The sequence below is a fragment of the Homo sapiens genome, chromosome 14 (assembly GCF_000001405.40).
Source record: "Homo sapiens chromosome 14, GRCh38.p14 Primary Assembly".
NCBI lineage: Eukaryota > Metazoa > Chordata > Mammalia > Primates > Hominidae > Homo > Homo sapiens.
The window spans coordinates 51638005-51658164 of NC_000014.9; the positions used below are offsets into that span (position 1 = coordinate 51638005).

At 42.3% G+C, this 20160-nt stretch overlaps 1 protein-coding gene and 1 long non-coding RNA gene across 32 annotated transcripts in view, besides 7 other annotated features; one reads left to right on the forward strand and one right to left on the reverse strand.

Moving 5' to 3' along the window:
- The window catches only part of FRMD6 (FERM domain containing 6), a 334297-nt gene that overhangs the window by 241574 nt on the left and 72563 nt on the right, over positions 1-20160 (forward strand). For 6 of the 31 annotated variants that reach the window (XM_047430936.1, NM_001267046.2, XM_047430937.1 and 3 more), the window contains exon 1: positions 13906-13992. The exons of 14 other annotated variants lie outside the window; for them this stretch is intronic. The gene's annotated coding sequence lies outside the window, so the exon portion shown is untranslated. Of the gene's footprint in view, positions 1-8358; positions 13510-13905; positions 14787-20000; positions 20077-20160 lie in introns of those variants that run through there. 11 more of the 31 variants (XM_006720029.2, XM_006720030.2, XM_047430938.1 and 8 more) reach the window with 6 other exon arrangements.
- Positions 11512-13740, reverse strand: FRMD6-AS1 (FRMD6 antisense RNA 1). The gene has a single exon (NR_037676.1). It is a non-coding gene; the product is annotated as an FRMD6 antisense RNA 1 (long non-coding RNA).
- Positions 12909-13527: an enhancer, noted in NCBI's record as "H3K27ac-H3K4me1 hESC enhancer chr14:52117631-52118249 (GRCh37/hg19 assembly coordinates)". NCBI's record gives its function as "activates a minimal SCP1, AML or CMV promoter by ChIP-STARR-seq in primed H9 embryonic stem cells {active_cell/tissue: H9 hESC(primed)}" and the evidence as "EXISTENCE:reporter gene assay evidence [ECO:0000049][PMID:30033119]".
- Positions 12909-13569: a biological region, named in NCBI's record as "H3K27ac-H3K4me1 hESC enhancer GRCh37_chr14:52117631-52118249".
- Positions 13500-13569: a silencer, noted in NCBI's record as "silent region_5736". NCBI's record gives its function as "represses an Ori minimal core promoter by ATAC-STARR-seq in GM12878 lymphoblastoid cells {active_cell/tissue: GM12878}" and the evidence as "EXISTENCE:reporter gene assay evidence [ECO:0000049][PMID:35858748]".
- Positions 13700-14149: a silencer, noted in NCBI's record as "silent region_5737". NCBI's record gives its function as "represses an Ori minimal core promoter by ATAC-STARR-seq in GM12878 lymphoblastoid cells {active_cell/tissue: GM12878}" and the evidence as "EXISTENCE:reporter gene assay evidence [ECO:0000049][PMID:35858748]".
- Positions 14360-14449: a silencer, noted in NCBI's record as "silent region_5738". NCBI's record gives its function as "represses an Ori minimal core promoter by ATAC-STARR-seq in GM12878 lymphoblastoid cells {active_cell/tissue: GM12878}" and the evidence as "EXISTENCE:reporter gene assay evidence [ECO:0000049][PMID:35858748]".
- Positions 14460-14519: a silencer, noted in NCBI's record as "silent region_5739". NCBI's record gives its function as "represses an Ori minimal core promoter by ATAC-STARR-seq in GM12878 lymphoblastoid cells {active_cell/tissue: GM12878}" and the evidence as "EXISTENCE:reporter gene assay evidence [ECO:0000049][PMID:35858748]".
- Positions 14530-14679: a silencer, noted in NCBI's record as "silent region_5740". NCBI's record gives its function as "represses an Ori minimal core promoter by ATAC-STARR-seq in GM12878 lymphoblastoid cells {active_cell/tissue: GM12878}" and the evidence as "EXISTENCE:reporter gene assay evidence [ECO:0000049][PMID:35858748]".

The following is a 20160-nucleotide window of genomic DNA, read 5'->3' on the forward strand; positions in this document are numbered from 1 at the left end:
TGGTGGCTCACGCCTGTAATACCAGCACTTTGGGAGGCCAAGGTGGAAGGATGGCTTCAGCCCAGGAGTTTGAGACCAGGACCAGCCTGGACAACACAGTGAACCCTTGTGTCTACAAAAATTTACAAAATTAGTTGAGTGTGGTTGCATAAGCCTGTAGTCGTCACTACTTGGAAGGCTGAGGTGGGGGGATCACGAGTCCAGGAGTTTGAGGTTGCAGAGAGCTATGATCACACCACTGTATTCCAGCCTGGATGACAGAGCAAGACCTTGTCTTAAAAAAAAAAGTTTGCCAAATTCCTTCCATGGGTAATAAGCTGAGTGAGAGCGGATAGCATAGTGCCAATCCCCAATGCCAGTGCAAACAGTAACTCTGTCCCTACTACTCCATTGAGACTGGGAGCCTCCAGATGTGGGTGGTTCCGCATTGTTCACATTCCTCCTGGAGACACTTACTGCCGGGCTACTGCTCCGGGAGCCACAGCTGACAGATGAGCCTCTTGTTCCATGCTAGATTTTACAACCTGGCTCCCGCAATGATAGGGACTGAAGGCAAAGGTGATTCCAGGGGACTGTCAGTCAGCTCCCCATTTGTGACCCAGATTGTCCAACTTTCTCCTTTATACTGAGTGTATGGCTCAAATGAAGCAATTAGAAACTTGAAGGACAAAAGCTGAGTTGCAGATGGAATGTAGAGGGGTGTAGCAACCTATCTGAGAACTTTGATCATTCTTTTTTAGTCTGATCAATTTAAGACACAGTAGAGCTTACACTGTTGGAATGGAAGAGGTGTCATCCAACACTGCCCTATTGACTCCTTCTTGCCAAATGACCTCACATAATTCCTTGTAATTATTTTTAAATGTTCTACCCACTAGAAATGGGCTAAGAATTTTGTTCCCAGTCCTTCCTGTTCCATATACATATCTAAGTTTGAATCAGTTTGAGCAGGGACATATCTTGGGTTCTTCTCCCGGTTTTCTGATACATAGTTTTTGCTGTCCGAAAATCAGCCACTCTCTGCTAAGAAAGTGGACACTTCAAGTGTCAGGATTTTTTTTTTTTATTAAAACTAGGTGTTCCCATTTTTTGCCACAGGACTTTTCTTTTCCTTTGTTTTTTAAAAAATTATTTACATACTTCTCTGCCGAGTTCACACACAAAAATAATTATTACATCCCAGCACTTTGGGAGACTGAGGCGGGCGGATCACGAGGTCAGGAGATCGAGACCATGCTGACCAACACGGTGAAACCCTGTCTCTACTAAAAATACAAAAAATTAGCCGGGCGTCGTGGCAGGCGCCTGTAGTCCCAGCTAATCGGGAGGCTGAGGCAGGAGAATGGCGTGAACCCGGTAGGCGGAGCTTGCAGCGAGCTGAGATTGCGCCACTGCACTCCAGCCTGGGTGACAGAGCAAGACTCCATCTCAAAAAAAAAAAATAATTATTATTATTAAACTCCACTATTAATAAGCTACTAACTTTGGGTAACTTGTCTGTTTTCTGGTTTCATTATTTGTAAAATAGGAATTATGATGGTACCTATTTCATGATGTGCTGTTATGACTAAATTAGATAATAAACCTAAACTTGGCATAGCATCTAAAACACACAGTAAACAGTAGATGATCAGCTGTCATTATTTTAAATGATTATTTCAAATGCGTTGCATTCCTGGAAACCACCCTTTTGAACTTGTCGTTCATAGAATAAAACAGTATCTATCCATGCAACCTCGTATTTATCTATGAGCCAAAGCCCTTAGTGGGTCAGTACAGTGGAGATGAAATATGTCCCTAAATATATGTAAAATATAGAGATATCTATTAGGCAGCATCAAAAGAGCAAGCTATGAATGGGAAGGAGTAGAAATTGGGATGCCTGTATATCCTGTTCAGTCTGTATTCCATTTTCTTTGAGCTGCCCTTCAGCATATTTATGGAAATGTTAATTAAGAATATGATTCATGTATACATTATTAGGTTGATGTAGAAGCTTCTGGGGACTAGATGCAATTATGTTATTCACTAAGACTGGTAGGTTCCAGTGCTTTCTTTAGTTGAATGACTTCTTATTGACCAAATTAATAATTACAGTTTTAGTTATTCCATTAACATCCCAGAAAATTAAAAACAGGCAGTCCTTCCCCAATCTGAATTAGATGCACTGACGTCAATGTCCTTATTGTGACAAAAAGATTACTAATCACATTTTACCACATTCCTCCCCCTCCACGTTTTTATTCCTTGGAAGGTAAGGATAGAGTTACAATACCTAAAGCATTTTGGGGCTTCAAATTAAACATTTCAGAAATATTTTAGATCTGGCCTCTTCATTTAAAACTTGTTTTAGTATAAGCATCAACAGGGCAACTACCTGTATGTCATGAATGGGTATCAAAATCATTTGGATCTTTTTGCTGATATTTTAATTGGAGATTCCTGGCCCTGTCACCAGTTCTTAAATGGTACTGATACATTGCCAAGTTTGGAAACCACTGTCTAAAAGCAATCAGCTAATAAGTCTAAGTGGAAATCAGGCAATATTTGAAAAAGGTGCTTAATGATCCCGTTTACAACTATTCTTCTTGGGTTTTGTCTTCATGAGAATTTGAGTATATTTGAATTCATAATTATATATTCTTTATTGTAAATGCTAGTGATATGATGAACAATAAAAGTATAAAAATAAGAAAATGGCTTTAATCCATATGAATCTGATTGGTTTGATTTATACAAACAATTCTTGATAGCCCTAATAATCATTTCAATGTTTACTTCTACATATTTGGCAGTAGCTATTTGTTTAAAACACACATAGTTTCATCTATTAAATATATTTCTACTAAACCACTTAAAAATAAAATTTAGCAAATTATTTAAGTAATGATAATTTTCCATGGTAAGAGCTAATATCCACTAACTTCTGGTTAAATTTTGGAGTTTATACTTTATTAACATAACTTTCCTTTTTTTTTTCTTTTTTGACAGAGTCTTGCTCTGTCACCCAGGCTGGAGTACAGTGGCACGATCTCAGCTCACTGCAACCTCCACCTCCCAGGTTCAAGCAATTCTCACGCCTCAGCCTCCCAAGTAGCTGGGATTATAGGCGATGCCACCACACCCTGCTAATTTTTTGTATTTATTTATTTATTTAGTAGAGAGGGGGTTTCCCTATGTTGGCCAGGCTGGTCTTGAACTCCTGTCCTCAAGTGATCCATTCGCCTTAGCCTCCCAAAGTGCTGGGATTACAGGTGTGAGCCACCATGCCCTGCCTATTCTCCTCCTTTAAGACTTAATTTTTGTTCAATAAATTGATTCTTCATTGCTATTAAGTGAAAAGCTTAGGTTTCCAACTTTTTTCTTTTGGGTCTTCACTATTGTTTAATTGGGATTAAGATAAATCTTATCCTACCTCTGTTGAGAAAGAGTCTCCTATTTACCTTTCCCCTCAAAATCTCTACATACTAAAAAAGAAGGTGATCTAGGACGAGATAAAATGTGTACTGAACGTCTTGGGGCTGTGGGAAGATCCAAATAAAGTTAGGGGAACGGTGGAGGCAGAAACTGAGTCCAAATATCTCACTCTTTAGGTCCCAAAGACATGATCCTTCACCTCCAGCAACTTTTCAATAGACACTTGGCAGGCTCAGCCAGCATCCCCCAGATACTAACTGCCCTGACTCACAGGGCACCTCAATGTTCCAGTCAAGTTCACCCTTTCGATCAGTGGCTTTCAAGTCGGGGCAGCAATTCTTTGTTGTGAGGTTCTGTCCCCTGTGTTGTAGGACGTTGAGCAGCATCCCTAGCCTCTGCTTGCTGGAAGCCTACAGTAGCACTGTCCCTCCTCCCCGCTTTCCCCATAAAGCTGTGACACCAAAAATACCTCCAGACATTGCCAAATGTTCTCGTAGGGGCAAAATCACCCCCTATCCAAGGACCACTAGAAGTGACAAAATATGGCTTTGAAGGTTCCCTTGTCTCACGATTATCTCCCACCTTACAGATGCCAAAATTTATTAATAAGGCCACGTACCTTTTGTTTCACAATCATAGACTTAAAGGCTTAAACTGTAGGTACTAGTTTGAGGTGATTTTGGTGGGATTTCAGTGAAAGTACAACTAGTCAGTCATTAATGGCAAAGGGTTGGTTTTCAGAACCTTTCTGAGTCTGCTCAGAAGGGAACATAGTGAGAGAGAGAGAGGGTTTTCAACATCTGAAGTGGGCTACTTTTTAGAAAAAGGAGGCCAGAGGCCGGGCATGGTGGCTCACGCTTGTAATCCCAGCACTTTGGGAGGCCAAGGTGGGGGCATCACCTGAGGTCAGGAGTTTGAGACCAGCCTGGCCAACATTGTGAAACCCTGTCTCTACTAATAATAGAAAAATTAGTCAGGTGTGGCAGAGCACACCTGTAATGCCAGCTACTTGGGAGACTGAGGCAGAATTGCTTGAACCCGGAGGTGGAGGTTGCAGTGAGCCGAGATCACGCCATTGCCCTCCATCCTGGGCGACAAGAGAGAAACTCCATCTCCTAAGTAAATAAATAAATAAATAATACAAAGGAGGCTAGAGACTAAGAACAAACTTCCAAAGCTTGATTACTTTACCTGGAATTATTTGTCCCTCTGTCAAACATGTTCCTGGTGCCTCATCAGGTGTGGTGCTAGATGTAGTATGAAATATACAGTCACTTCAGCATTTCTGTAGGAGGAAGATGGCCTAGGGCATGGTGAGATGTTAAATATTTTAGAGGAATAATTTGAATGTAAAGCTCCAGGACTAGAGATTAGGTTTTGTTTACCTGTGTCCCTAAGACCTAGTATACAATACTTAATAAGTATCTGCTAAATGAATCAACAAATCAATGATGGAGAAAGCCCTAAAAGAGCCAGGGGAGCAGGGGATACAGAGCTTTGGTAGGAGGAGATTAACTGAGAAGAGTCAGGAGAGAATGGCCTAGGAGAAAGATACGGAAAAATCTGTAGGTGGAAAGGACTGAAGCTCTAGGGAGAAAATGCCTGACCAAGTCTGTACCAGAAGCAAGGCAGTTTAGGGACAAAGGGCATGAGCTTAGAGTCAGATTTCCTAGGTTCAGATCCAAGCATCACTACTTATTTTCTTTAAGAACTTGGGCATCTGTAAACCAGGGATAATATCTTCTTCAAAGGGCTGTTGTGAAGATTCAACAAGGTAATACATATAAACGTCACAGATCAGTGACCAGCAAGAGTAAGGCTCGGTTGACCATTGAGAGTGGCAGGATTTCAGAGTGGGATGAGGAACCTGTGGAGAGTCATAAACATGTGAACAGTCACTGTGTGATGAAAAGGAAAGACAGCCAGGCAGGGATGAATAAAAAGTTGACCCAACAGCTATGAGTGTTTCACTGACCAAACTGTTGTCTTGGTGATGTGACTAATCAACTCATTTATTCAATTTTCTTTAGGCTTCTTCAATGTCTTTAAAGCAAAATGTAAGAAAACGGATGATTGAGTTGACCTGAATTTTGGGATTGTTAAGAAAGCTGGATTAGAAGGTCAAAGGGATTGGGACACGAGACCACTCAGCGATTAAACTGAAAAGGAAAGAAGTCAAGCCAAAAAACGGCTAATAAACTGAAAGAACAGGGAGGGGTTTGGGGACTGAAAGTCTAGGGGGAGATGGTGACAGTGGCAGATGTGGTGGACAGAGTAGTTTCCAGTCCAAAGGTTCAGAGATGGAGCAGCTCCAGGAAACACAAGGTGCAGTTAAACCTTGGATGGAGGTGGCGGAGGCTGAGCAAATGGAGGCAAGGCCACACATTTTTCCTTGTTCAACTCAAACTATTCTGTTCCCAAGCGTATCTCATCAAAATGTTTTGTGAGCAAAGAATTCAACAATAACCACTCTAGTAAAATCCTGCTAATAAACTTCTTAATATCTTGAAAAGCTGGAGGATGTATAGTTAAGTATAGTTTCACTTTAGTTGAATGATTTCTTATTAAGAAATTAATAATTACAGTTTTAGTTATTCAATCAACATCACAGAACATCAAAAATAGGTAATCCTTCCCAAATTTGAATTAGATCCACTGATATCAATGCAGGGGGAAGGCTAAAAATAGAAATAAAATATACAATAAGGAACATCAATAGAATATTAATTATACCATACATTGACACTTGAAAAAAATAAACATTACGTGAACTGAGTGATATAAGGTGTCCCATTCAAATCAACCAAGGCTTCTTAAGGGATAGATCATTTTTCATCAATACCTGAGATATCCGGCCCAGAAGCTTCTCAAAAAATGTTAATCCTTTTCTGTTCTCATCTCAGTGCATCTCAGATTTCTCTGCCTCACCCTTCACACACACACACACACACACACACACACACACACTCACTCACTCTCTCTCTCTCTCTCTCCCTCCCTGATCTCTACGTGTAATTTATGGGATTCATTCATTCAACAAATATGTGTCAGATACTGTTCTAGATGAATGGGGCCATAGCAGTTAGAGAGATTTTAGATCTGTGCTCACGTGAAGCTTAAATTCTAAAAGGAGAGACAGTTAACATATTCATAAATCAGATAGTAAAATGTGCTATAAAAATAAGTGATGTGTTAATATTTCACAATGATTTGTATATTAAGTCTGTATTGTACATAAAACTATCATATATTAATGTGTCTCCTCATTATCCTTTAAATTGGGGTATAAGTGTGACAAAATGATCCAATATGGACTATTTGCAGAACAGAAAATCACTAAAAATGCTGATTCTGTTTTTCTGCTCAAGAAATCACATGGAATGTATGGCTTAATTATATAGGAATAACAAATATATAAAAATGTTTTTACAAGAGAGCGTATTTCCTCGCCCCCAGTCTTCCTCTTGAAGCTAAATCTAGTTAAGAGTGCTATTGGCCAGTACTTTCTTTTCTCCATACATGTCAAAAGTAAACATCTGAATCTGGGGTCCTTTGAGACCAATCTTCCAATCCATAATTTCTAATTCAATCTCCATGATCTAATTAGCAGTGTTCTTTCCTTGAAGAACTGAAGTATAAGAAGTCTGTTTAGGCTAATAGAATAATTTATTAGGCTACCTTTGAAAATGAAAAATCTAACCACTACCTTGCCTGTAGAAAACTTTCTTAATATTTTCTGGCATTTGGTTTCATAGCCAAGCCAAATCAAAATGAATGCAGATTTTGTTTCTAACCTAGAATCAGGTGAGAGGAGAAACAGCGATCTTATGTCGGGTGTTTCAAGGTACTGTCTTCCTTTCATCCAACCAGTTAGTATAGCTAGCACATCAGCATCTTGTTTTATAACCAAATCCCAACCACCATGGACAGGTAGGGTGTCCCTTGGAGGCTGCACCAAGTCCTTTAGCCTCAGTGAACTTCCCATGAAATTCCAGAGCTAGGAGAGCCTTTTTTTCTTCTTCTTCTTGAGACAGTGTCTTACTCTGTCACTCAGATTGAGTGCAGTGGCATGATCACAGCTCACTCCAGCCTTGACCTCCCGGGCTCAAGTGAACCTCCACCTCAAGTGAACCTCCTGAGGAGTAGCTGGGACCATAGCTGCAAGCCACTCCGCCCAGCTAATTTTTTATTTTTTTATTTTTTATTTTTATAGAGATAGGGTTTCACTATGTTATCCAGGCTGGTCTCGAACTCCTGGGCTCAAGCGATCCACCTGCCTTGGCCTCCCAAAGTGCTGAGATTACAGGCAGGAGCCACCACATTTGGCTTAGGATATCTTATTTGTACTTTTACTCATGATTCTTTCTTAAGCAATCAAAAACAAGTTCAAAGGCACATTTGTTATGCTTATAACCTACCCAGGGTAACTAAATTAAAACAGAATGGACAGGTTTCATAAATGCTCTTTGCCAGTGGAACTTTTGTTGGTATTCTCAAGAAAGCCAGCATTGGCCAGGCTGTACATGCGTATTCTGAAAGACAGATGTTCACCCCTCCCACTGTTCCAGTTCAGTATGTCTTAGGCACACATTGATATCACAAAACACTGAAGAGAGGCCGGGTGCGGTGGCTCAAGCCTGTAATCCCAGCACTTTGGGAGGCCCAGGCAGGTGGATCATGAGGTCAGGAGATCGACACAATCCTGGCTAACACAGCGAAACCCCGTCTCTACTAAAAATACAGAAAATTTGCTGGGGGTGGTGGCACGCGCCTGTAGTCTCGGCTACTCGGGAGGCTGAGGCAGGAGAAACGCTTGAACCCAGGAGGCAGAGGTTGCAATGAGCCGAGATCGCGCCACTGCACTCCAGCCTGGGCGACACAGCGAGACTCCATATCCAAAAAAAAAAAAAAAAAAAAAAAACCCACTGAAGAGAACCTCAGTGGCCCAAGACCTCCATAATGTTATCACTAGTGTTTCAAAGGAATCCTCTGAGAATATTATCTCAGATAATCAGAGCGTGCCTGAGACATAAGTCAAAGAGTAACCAGTCTGTCACCAGATAGATTGCTGCTTCCTTTCTTCTTGCGTATCCTAATGGGAGTGGAGGGAATTGCCTCCCAACTCTGGGGTAAGCTTTTTTTTCCCCCAGGTTTTCAGTGAGTGATCAAAGAATCAGAGCTGCAAAACTACTCTGGAACCTTTAAGACCCATTGTATATCACACAAACAGAATACATGAGTTAAGTTTCATACTGTAGGGAATCCACCCTTTGTCCTGCCCTTCTGCTTGACATTTTTCTGTACTAGAGCTCTTCTATCTTCAGTCTTCTGTATAAGGTAAAGTCTCATGCATAAGGCAGCAATCCCATGTTTATACATAATTCCTCAACTATATTTTAGTTAGTAGCAGTATCCCTTAACCTAGCACTGCCTTGCCGCTATGCCTTTCAACTCCAAGACGCCAGTGTAATTCTCTACGATGGGCCCTCTCTCTACATTGTGCAACACCTTCCCAAGAGCAAGGGGCAGGGTCTGGCCCTTCCAGCCTTATCAAACCTTTCTTATTACATCTGGAGTATTCTAGTATTCAAGCCCTCAAGGAATGGGAATTGTGATGTTTGTGGTGAAATTAAAGCCATAATAGAATGGAAACAAAGTAGTTCTTTAAATACATCCCCTGTAAACCATATTAAAATGAAACTTTGACCCTGGATAATCAAGTTATTCTACTTTTACATATTTTTTTTTCAAAATTTGATGATCAGGAGAATAGAATTTAATGAATTTAATTTTTTCAACTCTGTATTTCTATAAATTGGGTAAAAGTAAATCTTCTTGAGTTAGATTGCTACATAAGCCCCGTGCTATGCTGCCTCTGAAAAATAATTATGCGTATTCCTGGTTAGGGGCTCCCGGTGTATGGTAATTAGACAGCTGGGTTAAATGAATGATAATCAATTTTCCTGACTTTTCTTAAGCATTAAAGTCTCTTTGGGTACTTTATTTTACTAGCTGAGAATAATAAAAAGAGCATTTTAAATGTTAGGCAGTGAAAATCAGGACCATAACACTAAACTATTTAAGTTTCCATGTGAGATTATTTTCTTTCATTAGCTACAGGGACATCTAAAACCTTAAAGTAGGACTTAATTAAATTTATTTTGTTTGTTTAAAGTACTTTTTGTTTTGCTTTTAAAATGAATCTCAGTAATTACCAAAAAGAAAAATGAACTTAATTTCTTTATTATGACCTTCAGCCAGAATGATGAACGGTATTTAATTCTGGAAAAGTATTCTTTAAAAGCCAGTATGTTAAATCACTGACTTCTCTCTTAGACTAGAACTTACATATCAGCATTAAAACATACTCTGAATGCTGGATAGCCCTGATTTATTATTATTATTAATTAATTAATTTATTGAGATGGAGTTTTGCTCTTGTTGCCTAGGCTGGAGTGCAATGGCGCGATCTTAGTTCACTGCAACCTCCGCCTCCCAGGTTCAAGCGATTTTCCTGCCTCAGCCTCCTGAGTAGCTGGGATTACCGGCATGTGCCACCATGCCTGGCTAACTTTGTATTTTTAGTAGAGATGGGGTTTCTCCATGTTGGTCAGGCTGGTCTCGAACTCCTGACCTCAGGTGATTTGCCCACCTCCGTCTCCCAAAGTGCTGGGATTACAGGCATGAGCCACCGCGCCCAGCCAATAAGCCTGAATTATACAAAAGATAAAAATAATTTTTTTTCTTCTAATATGCTAATCTTAATTGTCAACATACTATCCTGGTGTCTAGAAAATACCTGTAAAGGAATGTGAATTACAGCAGTTCTTATCTCATTTTCTATATTACTGTGTTCTTTACACCAAAATGTACAAATACCACCTACCAAAGTTTACACCTCTCAAAATAAGGCTATGGCCATCATGCTTTAAAAGCATGGCTCTGTGTGCTTGTTCACTCTGTGTCCTCTGCCATATGCCTACACTTAAAATAACCTGGGGATATTTAAAACATTCCAAAGCCCAAGCCATACCACAGACCAATTAAATTATATGCCTGAGACACAGGCATCAATAGTTTTTGAAAGTTTCTAGGTAATTCCAACGTGCTTGCAAGTTTGAGAGCACTGTCTCAACCAACTTGTTCTCAGGCAAACTTCTGTTTATCCTTCCCTTCTCAGTTCACAGGGGATGTTTGATGCTCTCCCTCCCTAGGCCTTCTCACTATTCTTCCTGCGTATCTCTACCATAGCATGAACTAACTATGTTGTAACTGTTAACTCACGTGTCTGTTCCCCTAATCTACTATAAGATTAAGGAGTATTTTTATTTTTGAATCTCTGAATCTAACCCTTTGCCTGGTGCATGGGAGAACCCAATAAATTCATAGAATGAATAACCTGTTCCTAAGAAAAACAAAAGCAAAAATGTAGAGTTGTGTTAATATTTAAATGCCATGGAAAAAGTAATTGCTTAGGATGTGTTTAAAATAATGTTTCCCTGGTGGGCAATGTCCCATATTTAGAAAAACATCTCATCATATTAGTGAAAATAAAACATCCCAACATTAAGAAGAAACATAAAATATAACTTTGAATTATTACCCACACAGTTGCATTCTTTATTGTAATAAGCACAGAAAAACGTTTTAAACGTTTTCTGTGATAAGAAATATCTAAAACAACACATCCTTTCTCAGCTCCCCTTCCATCTTTACTAGATTATGTATTACTTCCCCAATCAGTCCTTTCAGAATTTGATGATGTTACAGGAGTTTATATAACTGATTTTAAGAGTTTAAAATACTTAGTTTGCAAAATATTTTAACTAAGAGTCTCTGTTTAATGTGGTATTTATACTGTTAATATTATCACTATGATTCAGAAAATATTCACATAGTGAATTTTCCTACAATATAATTCTGGACAACAAGCCCACTCTTAAACACACTTTTTTTTTTAAACTGTTCCAAATATTTTGCTATTTGTTTTACCTAATTATATTTGCAGCAATGTTTCACGCCTACCAATATGTTGTTGTTTATCTGTTAGATTTTGATTCATGAAACCTGAAAATAAATCAGATTTAGGAACTGTTTTCCAAGATAGTGATATATTATTCATTTATCTAATTTATCTTTACACATGAAATGCCGGATTATCTCAGTAGGTACCAAATTAATTTAAGACCTTACCAAGTAGTATACAATATGCACTCATTCTGATGCATATAAAAGACAAAAATGAGAAAAAAAGTGCAATCCTCTACCTTTAAATGCCTACACTGTCCTCAACTATTGTTATCCAATTTTTAACTTTAGTACATTAAGTACAGCTACATTTTTTTTTTTCTTTTTCAGACAGGGTCTCACTCTGTCACCCAGGCTAGAGTCCCGTGGTGTAATCATAATTCACTGTGGCCTCAACCTCCTAGGCCCAAGCCATCCTCCCACCTCAGCCTCCTGAGTAGCTGGGGCTACAGGCATGGGCCACCATGCCCGGAAAATTTATTTATTTTTTATTTTTAGTAGAAACAAGGTCTGGCTATGATGCCCAGGCTGTCTTGAACTCCCGGCCTCAAACGATCCTGTCACCTCGGCCTCCCAAAGTGCTGGAGTACCGCTAATTTAAAAGGCAGTCATTGAAACATATTTCTTGTTCTCTTTTGCATCATGGAGTTATGACTTTAAATCATAAGTACAGTATCCTTAGAAACTGCCCAGTTTTATCAGAAATAAGTTCTGAATGTATTGTCAATTGTGAAAAGACAAAAGATCACAGTTCCTAATATTCAGTTCTAATGGCATGGTTCCCCAAAATGTAAAAGCTGTGACTGAGACAATTATTTCAAGAGAGCTTCAGCTGTAAATAAACACAAAACTGAATTCCTTTGCCATGCAAACAAGAGGCACACTTTCAACCAGTAACAGCTGGCTTCATATATTCATCTTTGGATGAAAAGAGCAGGGCAGTTTTTTTTTTTTTTTTTTTTTTGAGACGGAGTCTCGCTCTGTCGCCCAGGCTGGAGTGCAGTGGCGGGATCTCGGCTCACTGCAAGCTCCGCCTCCCGGGTTCACGCCATTCTCCTGCCTCAGCCTCCCAAGTAGCTGGGACTACAGGCGCCCGCCACTACGCCCGGCTAATTTTTTGTATTTTTAGTAGAGACGGGGTTTCACCGTTTTAGCCGGGATGGTCTCGATCTCCTGACCTCGTGATCCGCCCGCCTCGGCCTCCCAAAGTGCTGGGATTACAGGCGTGAGCCACCGCGGAGCAGGGCAGTTTTAAAGTTGACTTCTGAGAGCATCAGATTTTGGATAGTGTCCTTTCTCAGGTCCTGTTTCCTTGTCTCCTCATCCCATTTTAAAAGCCAGACACATAAACCCCGGCACTCCTTTAGCGAAGGGCTCAGTGAGGGCGTTTTTGCCACCCGTGGCCAGGGGTCATTGGGTCAGCAAAGTCAGAGGAAACCTAGAAAGGCAGAAGCCCAGGAGGTTGACGCCCTGCGGGTCTAGGGGCCAGGTGCTGGGTGTCTCTCCTTTCGTGTGCGGTTCCCAGCAGCAGGTCCTGGTGGGCGCAGACTGACCGGAGAGGTGTGGCTCGCCCCCTCCCCAGACCCCGAGGTGGCAATGAAACCTCCATCTCCTGGCTTGATTCCTTGTGCTATAAAAAATCTTCCACTGGCCCTTTGCATCTCTCGCCCTCCATCCCCCAAAGCCACTATCGGGAGGGGACAAAAATAATTTCTGAGGGGCCATGGGCACTAAAACCACAGCAGACAGAGGCTGTGTCTACCTGAGGAACTGGAGAGGTAGAATTAGAGGGGGAGGCTGGGCATCCTCGGCGGCGCCCCCTCCATCCAGCGTGAAACCCACGAGGCGCGGCGTCTCGAGTGGCGGGCGGGCAGGGGGCTGCAGGATTCACGAAGCCACCTCCGCCGGGGACCGCCTTCTCTCGGAGTGGCCTCCCCTCCGGCGTTCCGCTTTAGTAAGACGACACTCAGGCCAAACAGCCGCCCCCGGCCAGCCCGACTCGGCTCTGGAGGGAGCGCCCCGAGGGAGTCCAGCCGGAGGCGGAGAAGGCCACTCGGCCAGAAGGTGGGGAGCCGCCGGCGTCCCCTCGCACCTCCGTCTCCACAGCAGGGGGAAAGGCCCTGATCGCCGTGGTCCACACCACCGCGTCCACCTGAGGCTCGCCTCGCTTCCTGGGTCCCTAGAGGGGTGGCGTACTCCGCTTTCTCCTGCCCCCAAGTGGCCGCACCCCTCCGCGGGACGCTTGGTTGGGTCCAGGGCGGGGCGGGCGGGCGCTCCCCGTACTGCCGCGAGCTCAGCGCGCAGCTCCCGCGGCTCGGCTGCCGCCGCGGCCAGTTGGGGCGGGTCGGGGGCGGGGTCTCAGGGGGCGGGGATTCGGGGGGGCGGGTCGGGTCGGGAGGCGTGGGTGGGGGGCGGGGCGGACGCGGAGCGCCCCTCTGGCTGGCGGGGCCAAGGGGCTGAGAGGAGTGGGGCAGGCTCGGCGCCGGTAGGAAGAGTCAGAGGGGTGACCAGAGAGCCCAACGCCTGGTGCTCAAGACTTTCTCCGAGGTATGAACAAGAACCAGGCGTCTGGGCCCTTTCCGCTCGCCCCATCGCTCAGCCGCCGCGCCCCGGACGCCCGCTGTGCCCCCTGCCGGCGGGGCGGCGGCGGGACTGGGTTTCGGGAGGGTTTCTGGAAGTCGCGAGTCCCAGCGAAGGCAGTGCACCGCTCTCCGCCTCTTTCTTCGCCTTCTTCTCGCTCCCTTAGCTCTGGGTGTCGGGCACCGGTGGTAAGGTCGCTTCTCCGTGAGTCGGAGGTCGCTCACTCTGGGACGGGCGGACGAGGCCCTAGGGCAGCCGAGCCCGGCAGCGGGGGAGGCGTGGAGCTCGGGGCGGCTTCAGCGGCGGGGGCGGGAGGCTGGTCCTGGCTGCAGACTGCGCGCCTGGGCTCCGTGCGCGGTCCCTGGTTCTCTGCATCGCGGAGGTCCCCGGATCACAGGGCTCCCTGGCGGGCCCCGGCACCCAGGTCTGTGTCGCTGTGGCTGGGCGCCGGGACTAGCACCCGAGTCCCGCGCTCCCGGGGGCTGCGCCGTGCCGCCTGTTGTGCGCGCGCAGAGGCCGGACAGCCCGGCTGCGGGAAGGGACCCGAGCGCAGGGTCTGCCCCGCGTCCCGGAAAGTGCCTAGTCTGCGGAGCCGGAGGTTGAGCTGGGGCAGATCGGCGCCAGACGGGGGCCTGGGTGAGATACGAGTTGGGGGTGCGGCCTGCAGAATTTGGGTTTCTGGAGGAGCTTACGGCGCGCTGGCGGAGCCCCAGGCGAACAGGAGCACCGGATTCGGCTCCGGGAGGGCCAGGCACTGTCAGGTATGGACAGCTGCGGTCCACCCGTGTAAGTGTAAAGTCTACAGAGATTAAAACAACACCTCGAGTCCTGGGACAGCATAACCTAATGGTGCGGGCGTTTTCTTAAAGGCACGAATAGATGGGAAAATGTCAAAATAAGCATATTTTAAAGTTGAAAGCTGGCAGATTTTCAGGCCGTGTAGTTGTGTAGCTAGTGTCCAAAGAAATATTAGCTCGTTTTCCCCCTTAACACCTTTTCATTTTTATTTTTTTACGCAAAATCTGTTTTGCCAGTATTTCCCTCAGGAGCTGTGCATTGCTCACAGCAGGGAAGGAAAACTTCAGCAAGCGTTCTCAGGTTGCTTCTGACTTCCAGCCTGTGCTCTCCAGCATTTCTGAATGTGGAGAAAAAGTATCTCTTGCTGGATTTTCCGAGTATGATTCCCTTCTGTTCTTCTCTGGGACCGGGCAATGTTTGTTTATGGGTTTTATAAGCATCTATTTAAATTTAGTTTTTGCACGAAATACTCCCTCTTGCCACAGGGTGTAGTTTGGGGTTTAGAAAATGCTGTTGGAGAAAGCTGCTAGTGGCTTCATTTTCCAAGAATGTAAGTCATTTCCTTTCTGTGATTTCAGGGAGTTGATATTTCACAGCATCAAAACTTTGTGGGGAAAATTTTCCGTAATACATCTGTCATTAAAAAGGCTTGTGACTTTTGGGTTTCCTTCTTAGAGCAGTGCATGAATTTAGGTTCAGCAGTGTTAAAGGATGAGAAATTTTTTTTTAGAATTTAGAGCATTATGAGACTATTGTAGAAATTTTAACTACCAGGACCTACAGGATGGAGAGTGGGGGAGGGGAGAAGACCAGAAGAGAGGCAGGAAAACAGATGCCTTTGCTGATGTCCTTTGTAGTATAAAACTTAACAGCACCACAGCACCTAATCATTTTCTCAGGTGTGGCTTTGAGAAATAAACGTTTTATGTTAAAAATGAAAATACTTCACAATATGAGACAGCTGGCATTTGAATACTTTTCCCAGTATGTTTGTAAACATTTTGGATTCATATTTCATATTAAAATGGACATTTAGTAGGATTATTAGATGAAAAGGGTCCCCCAGGGGATATCTAATATCAAATTATCTGCAGGACATCTTCTCCAGAAAGCAGACTGACTGTAATATGAACTAATTTTCCCCCCTTTGAGTTGCTTGCAAGAATCTCTGAGATCTGACACTGATGGGCTACAGTAATCAGCAGTTCTTGCAGTACTCAAGACATTTTAAGGGGCAGGAAATCTTTCCTATTTCCAGTATCTCCTTTTTGGGGGCAACAAGGGTAAGCTGCTAGTTTTAAGTACATAATTTGAACTTAGAGATTTAAGATGCTCCTGGCTGTACAGGAAAACGCCTGAAAACAGCATGGGCCTGGATGAAGACGCTGCTTTTGAAAGCAAAATGCCAGTGTGCTAGGTAGCGGTTTTTAGTTACAAATTCTTAAAAAAAATTGTTACTGAACTAGGTTAGCTGAATTGGGGGGGGGGTCTTTTTGTAGTTTTTGGATTTTGTTTCCACATTTAACTATACTTATAAAGCTTTTGGCTTTCTGAACTTATGATGTAATAGACTGCGTAGCCTTTTGTGGCAGATGCTTGGAATGAAAGTTTCAAACATAATTGTTTTTGACTGAGCTGTCAGGTTCAGAGTTGAGTGTAAATGAGTCCTGTCTCACAACTAACTTTTTTGATAAAGGAATTCTTTGTAGTTTTCGATTTGGATGTTGCACATTTTGATTTCTAAAGTTGTGGGTTTTTTTTTTTTTAAGAAAAATAAAACCTGCAAACAATTATTTTATTACATGAAAGCCAGTACCAAGAAAAGATTAATTCAGTCCAGATGTAAAAATGTATGTGAATTTTAGATTTGGATGATCTCAACAAGTTTTCCCTTTTGTGGATGGGACTGCCTGGATCCCAGATGGCATTCACAAATTATCCCTTAGGTAGTTTTCTGAGTTGAGAATGAGATTTCTTGGGCTTTCCCTAAAATCATTTTAATATTAAGTCTTCTAAAGGATAGAAAGTTTTTTGCATTTGTACATTTTTGCATTTTTCTGTTCATTAATACAAACCTCATAAATGCCCTAGTTTGGTAGATGAAGCATATTTCTTTCATAAGTGGGAAAACAGGAGGTATTCAGTTTGTGTATCCTTATGGGTAAAGCATAGAAATTTTGGCTCTCATTTTTGCAATTTCAACTTTCTTCTTTTAAAGTAAAAAAAAAAAAAAAAGTTTTAAGTGTGTTTACAATCCTCAATAGAATCCTACTGTAACACAGTTTGTGGATTCAGGTATAGCAATTGGTCCTTGTTTGATGATCCCCTACCTCCTCCCCACCCCCAACGAGGAAAAACAAACACAGTTTATTAAAAAGTCAGTATGTTTTTAAACGTGTACTCCCAGTACTAGAGTTATAAAGGCTGTTTGTTGCACACATTAAAATTATGTATTTTTAGAAAGTCTTTGTATGATTATATCATTACACATTTTGGGAGTGTGTTTATGTCGTGATTGTGTATAAAACAATGGAGAGTTAGGAGAGGGGAATGGGAAAGATTTAGTGAAGGAGTTTTATGAGTAGTGAAATTTCAGTTATAATGTATGTTCCCCAAAACCCAAACAGGAAAAATGTTATCGTTGGTCTCTGTGGTTAAACTTTTATACAGAGGGTAGTTGAGAGGGCTTTCTGAATTGCACATTATCCTGAGGAAGAGGCTTTGGGGGCCTTTAAAAGTAAGTAGAAACAAGTTAAAGGGATAATTTGAGAGGAACGAGGAAGTGGAATACTGGACATTGAATTGCAAGGAAAAAGTTAGAAGGATAAGTATTTAAAACAAGGCTGAAGTAGAGAGAACTTACTGTTTAGAAGTGTAGATTAAAGAATAAGGTATTTTTAGCTGAGAAAAAAGGATCAGAATGATTAGAATCAAGGTGCCCTATAAGATCTGTATACAAACTTGAAATAGGACTGCTAATTGATAGTTATCCTGGAAATTTTGCCTGTCTTTGTGTTGAATCACTAGTTTGGTGTTAAATAATGTGCAGGGACTGGATGCTTATAACTGTATCCCGTACACTCCAAAAGCCACTTCCCATTTCAAAGACTGGAAACATTTTTTGTTTAAGTGCTAATGATTCTACAAATATTTAATTAGTCCCCCAACATTTGAGGAAACTACTAATGTCTACTTCCCATGCTGTGGGACCAGAGGGGGCTCTACAGCAGTAATGGCTGAAGTTATTATGAAGTTTTAGGTAGAAACAAGCAATCTGTGCTTCTCATTACTTTATGCGATTTAGTGATGTAATTACTTCTGATGCAAGTTTGTGTATGATCACTTTTTGTATATATCAAATGGAACAGAGCAGTCATGCAGTATATATACCATATTGATCAAAGATGAATTACAGAACACTGAGAAGGGGAAAGAAATCATTGATCTCTCAGCTGATTGTATTGCTTCAAGTCAAGAAGAGAAAAATGTGCTGAAACAAATTCACAGATGAACCAAATACAGTCGCAAGGAGAAGGCAGTGTTTTCCTGGAGCTTCCTTGGAGTGGTCTGTAGCATAGCATTTTCTTTTCTTTTTTTTTTTTCTGAGGCGGAGTCTCGCCCTGTCGCCCAGGCTGGAGTGCAATGGCCTGATCTCAGCTCACTGCAGCCTCCACCTCCCGGGTCCAAATGATTCTCCTGCCTCAGCCTCCCGAGTAGCTGGGATTATAGGTGCCTGCCACCACGCCCATCTAATTTTTGTATTTTTAGTACAGATGAGGTTTCACCATGTTGGCCAGGCTGATCTCAAACTCCTGACCTTGTGATCTGCCCGCCTCGGCCTCCCAAAGTGCTGAGATCACAGGCTTGAGCCACCGCGCCCGGCTAGCATGGCATTTTCTTGAATGTCTTTCCCCAGCTGTATGGTCTTGTCTTAGCAGAGTTAAATTGATATATCAAGAAACTAGGTAGAGATTTGGTCATTATCCAGGTCATTGCATTAATGTGCTGATAATTGGGATAATTCTGACCAAAAATATCTATTTAGACTCTCAGTATTCCAAATGGATCCTCTTGGGGGTGTTTTCAGATGTTTTCCAACAACATTATCTTTGTACATGTTTTATACAACTTTGAGCAATAATGTTTTACTGATACATGAAGACAGAGGGAAAAACAATATTTTGAATTAATTTATAGCCACAGTTTCATGTGAGGGAGGAAATCATTTAAAAAAATTAAGCAATTTCTTGATGCATATTTTAGGAAATATAATGAAGTTTCTCACTTAGCTTTTCAGATGATTTTTCTCTCTGATTGGGTTAAATAAAATGTAATTAATTTTCTCCCCACAGGTAGTAGCACTTGTGTGTACAGTTTCAGTAGATGACTTTTTTTTTTGGTCCCTGTAGCTTTATTTCTTTGAACTTGTTACTGAATTATACACAACCAGACAAATGCACAGATCAGGAGTGTACAGCACAAAATGATCACATTTGGGCAACTAGCATCCAAATCAAGAAGCAGAACATTACCAGCCTCTCTTTACAGTCATCATCTTTGCCCCCAGGATAACCATTATGCTGACTTTTATTGTCATGGTTAGTTTTAAACTGTTTTTGGACTGCATTTAAATGCAATAAAATACACATTTTTTGGTCATCTTTAGCTCAGCATAATGTCATGTGATATATCCAAATTGATGTAGGTCGCAATAGGTCTTTTTTCTGTTATTTCTGTGAATGAATATGCCCAGTTTCTTTATCCATTTTGTTGGTGGATATTTGGGTAGTTTGAGGACAGTACATGGTAGGTGACCTTTTGATGGCTCTAAAAAATGTTGAGCACTTTGGGGTTGAAAGCAGAGTATGGTCTTAAAATTAAAAGAGAAAAAGTAACGTTAGAGGTAAGATGTGAGAGGAAAAAAAGCAATCTTAAGAAAACTTTAAAGGTTCCACTCAGCCACTGTATCCTAAGGATATAGTTTGGAATATACCAACTAGATATCACCAGATTTCAATTGAGAATTGGTAAGAGGAAGGAGGCCTTAGGTGACATCTAGCCAGCCCCATCATTTTTCAGAGATGGAGGCAGAGGTTGAATGATTCATACAGAGTCTCACAGCTGATGACAGCGCCAGTAGTAGAAGCTGCTCTGACTCTCAATCTTGTCTCCTCTAGTGCCACATGCTTGTTGGAGAGAGAGAAGGCAAGATCAGGGCTACCAACTGTAGCTGTGCAGGTTTTGCCATGCAAGGTGGGTCTGAAAACCAGCTCCCTACTATGTAGTCCAAGCAAGTGAGTCCATTGGGGGGCTCACTGCCTGGAGGATGGGTGCCCT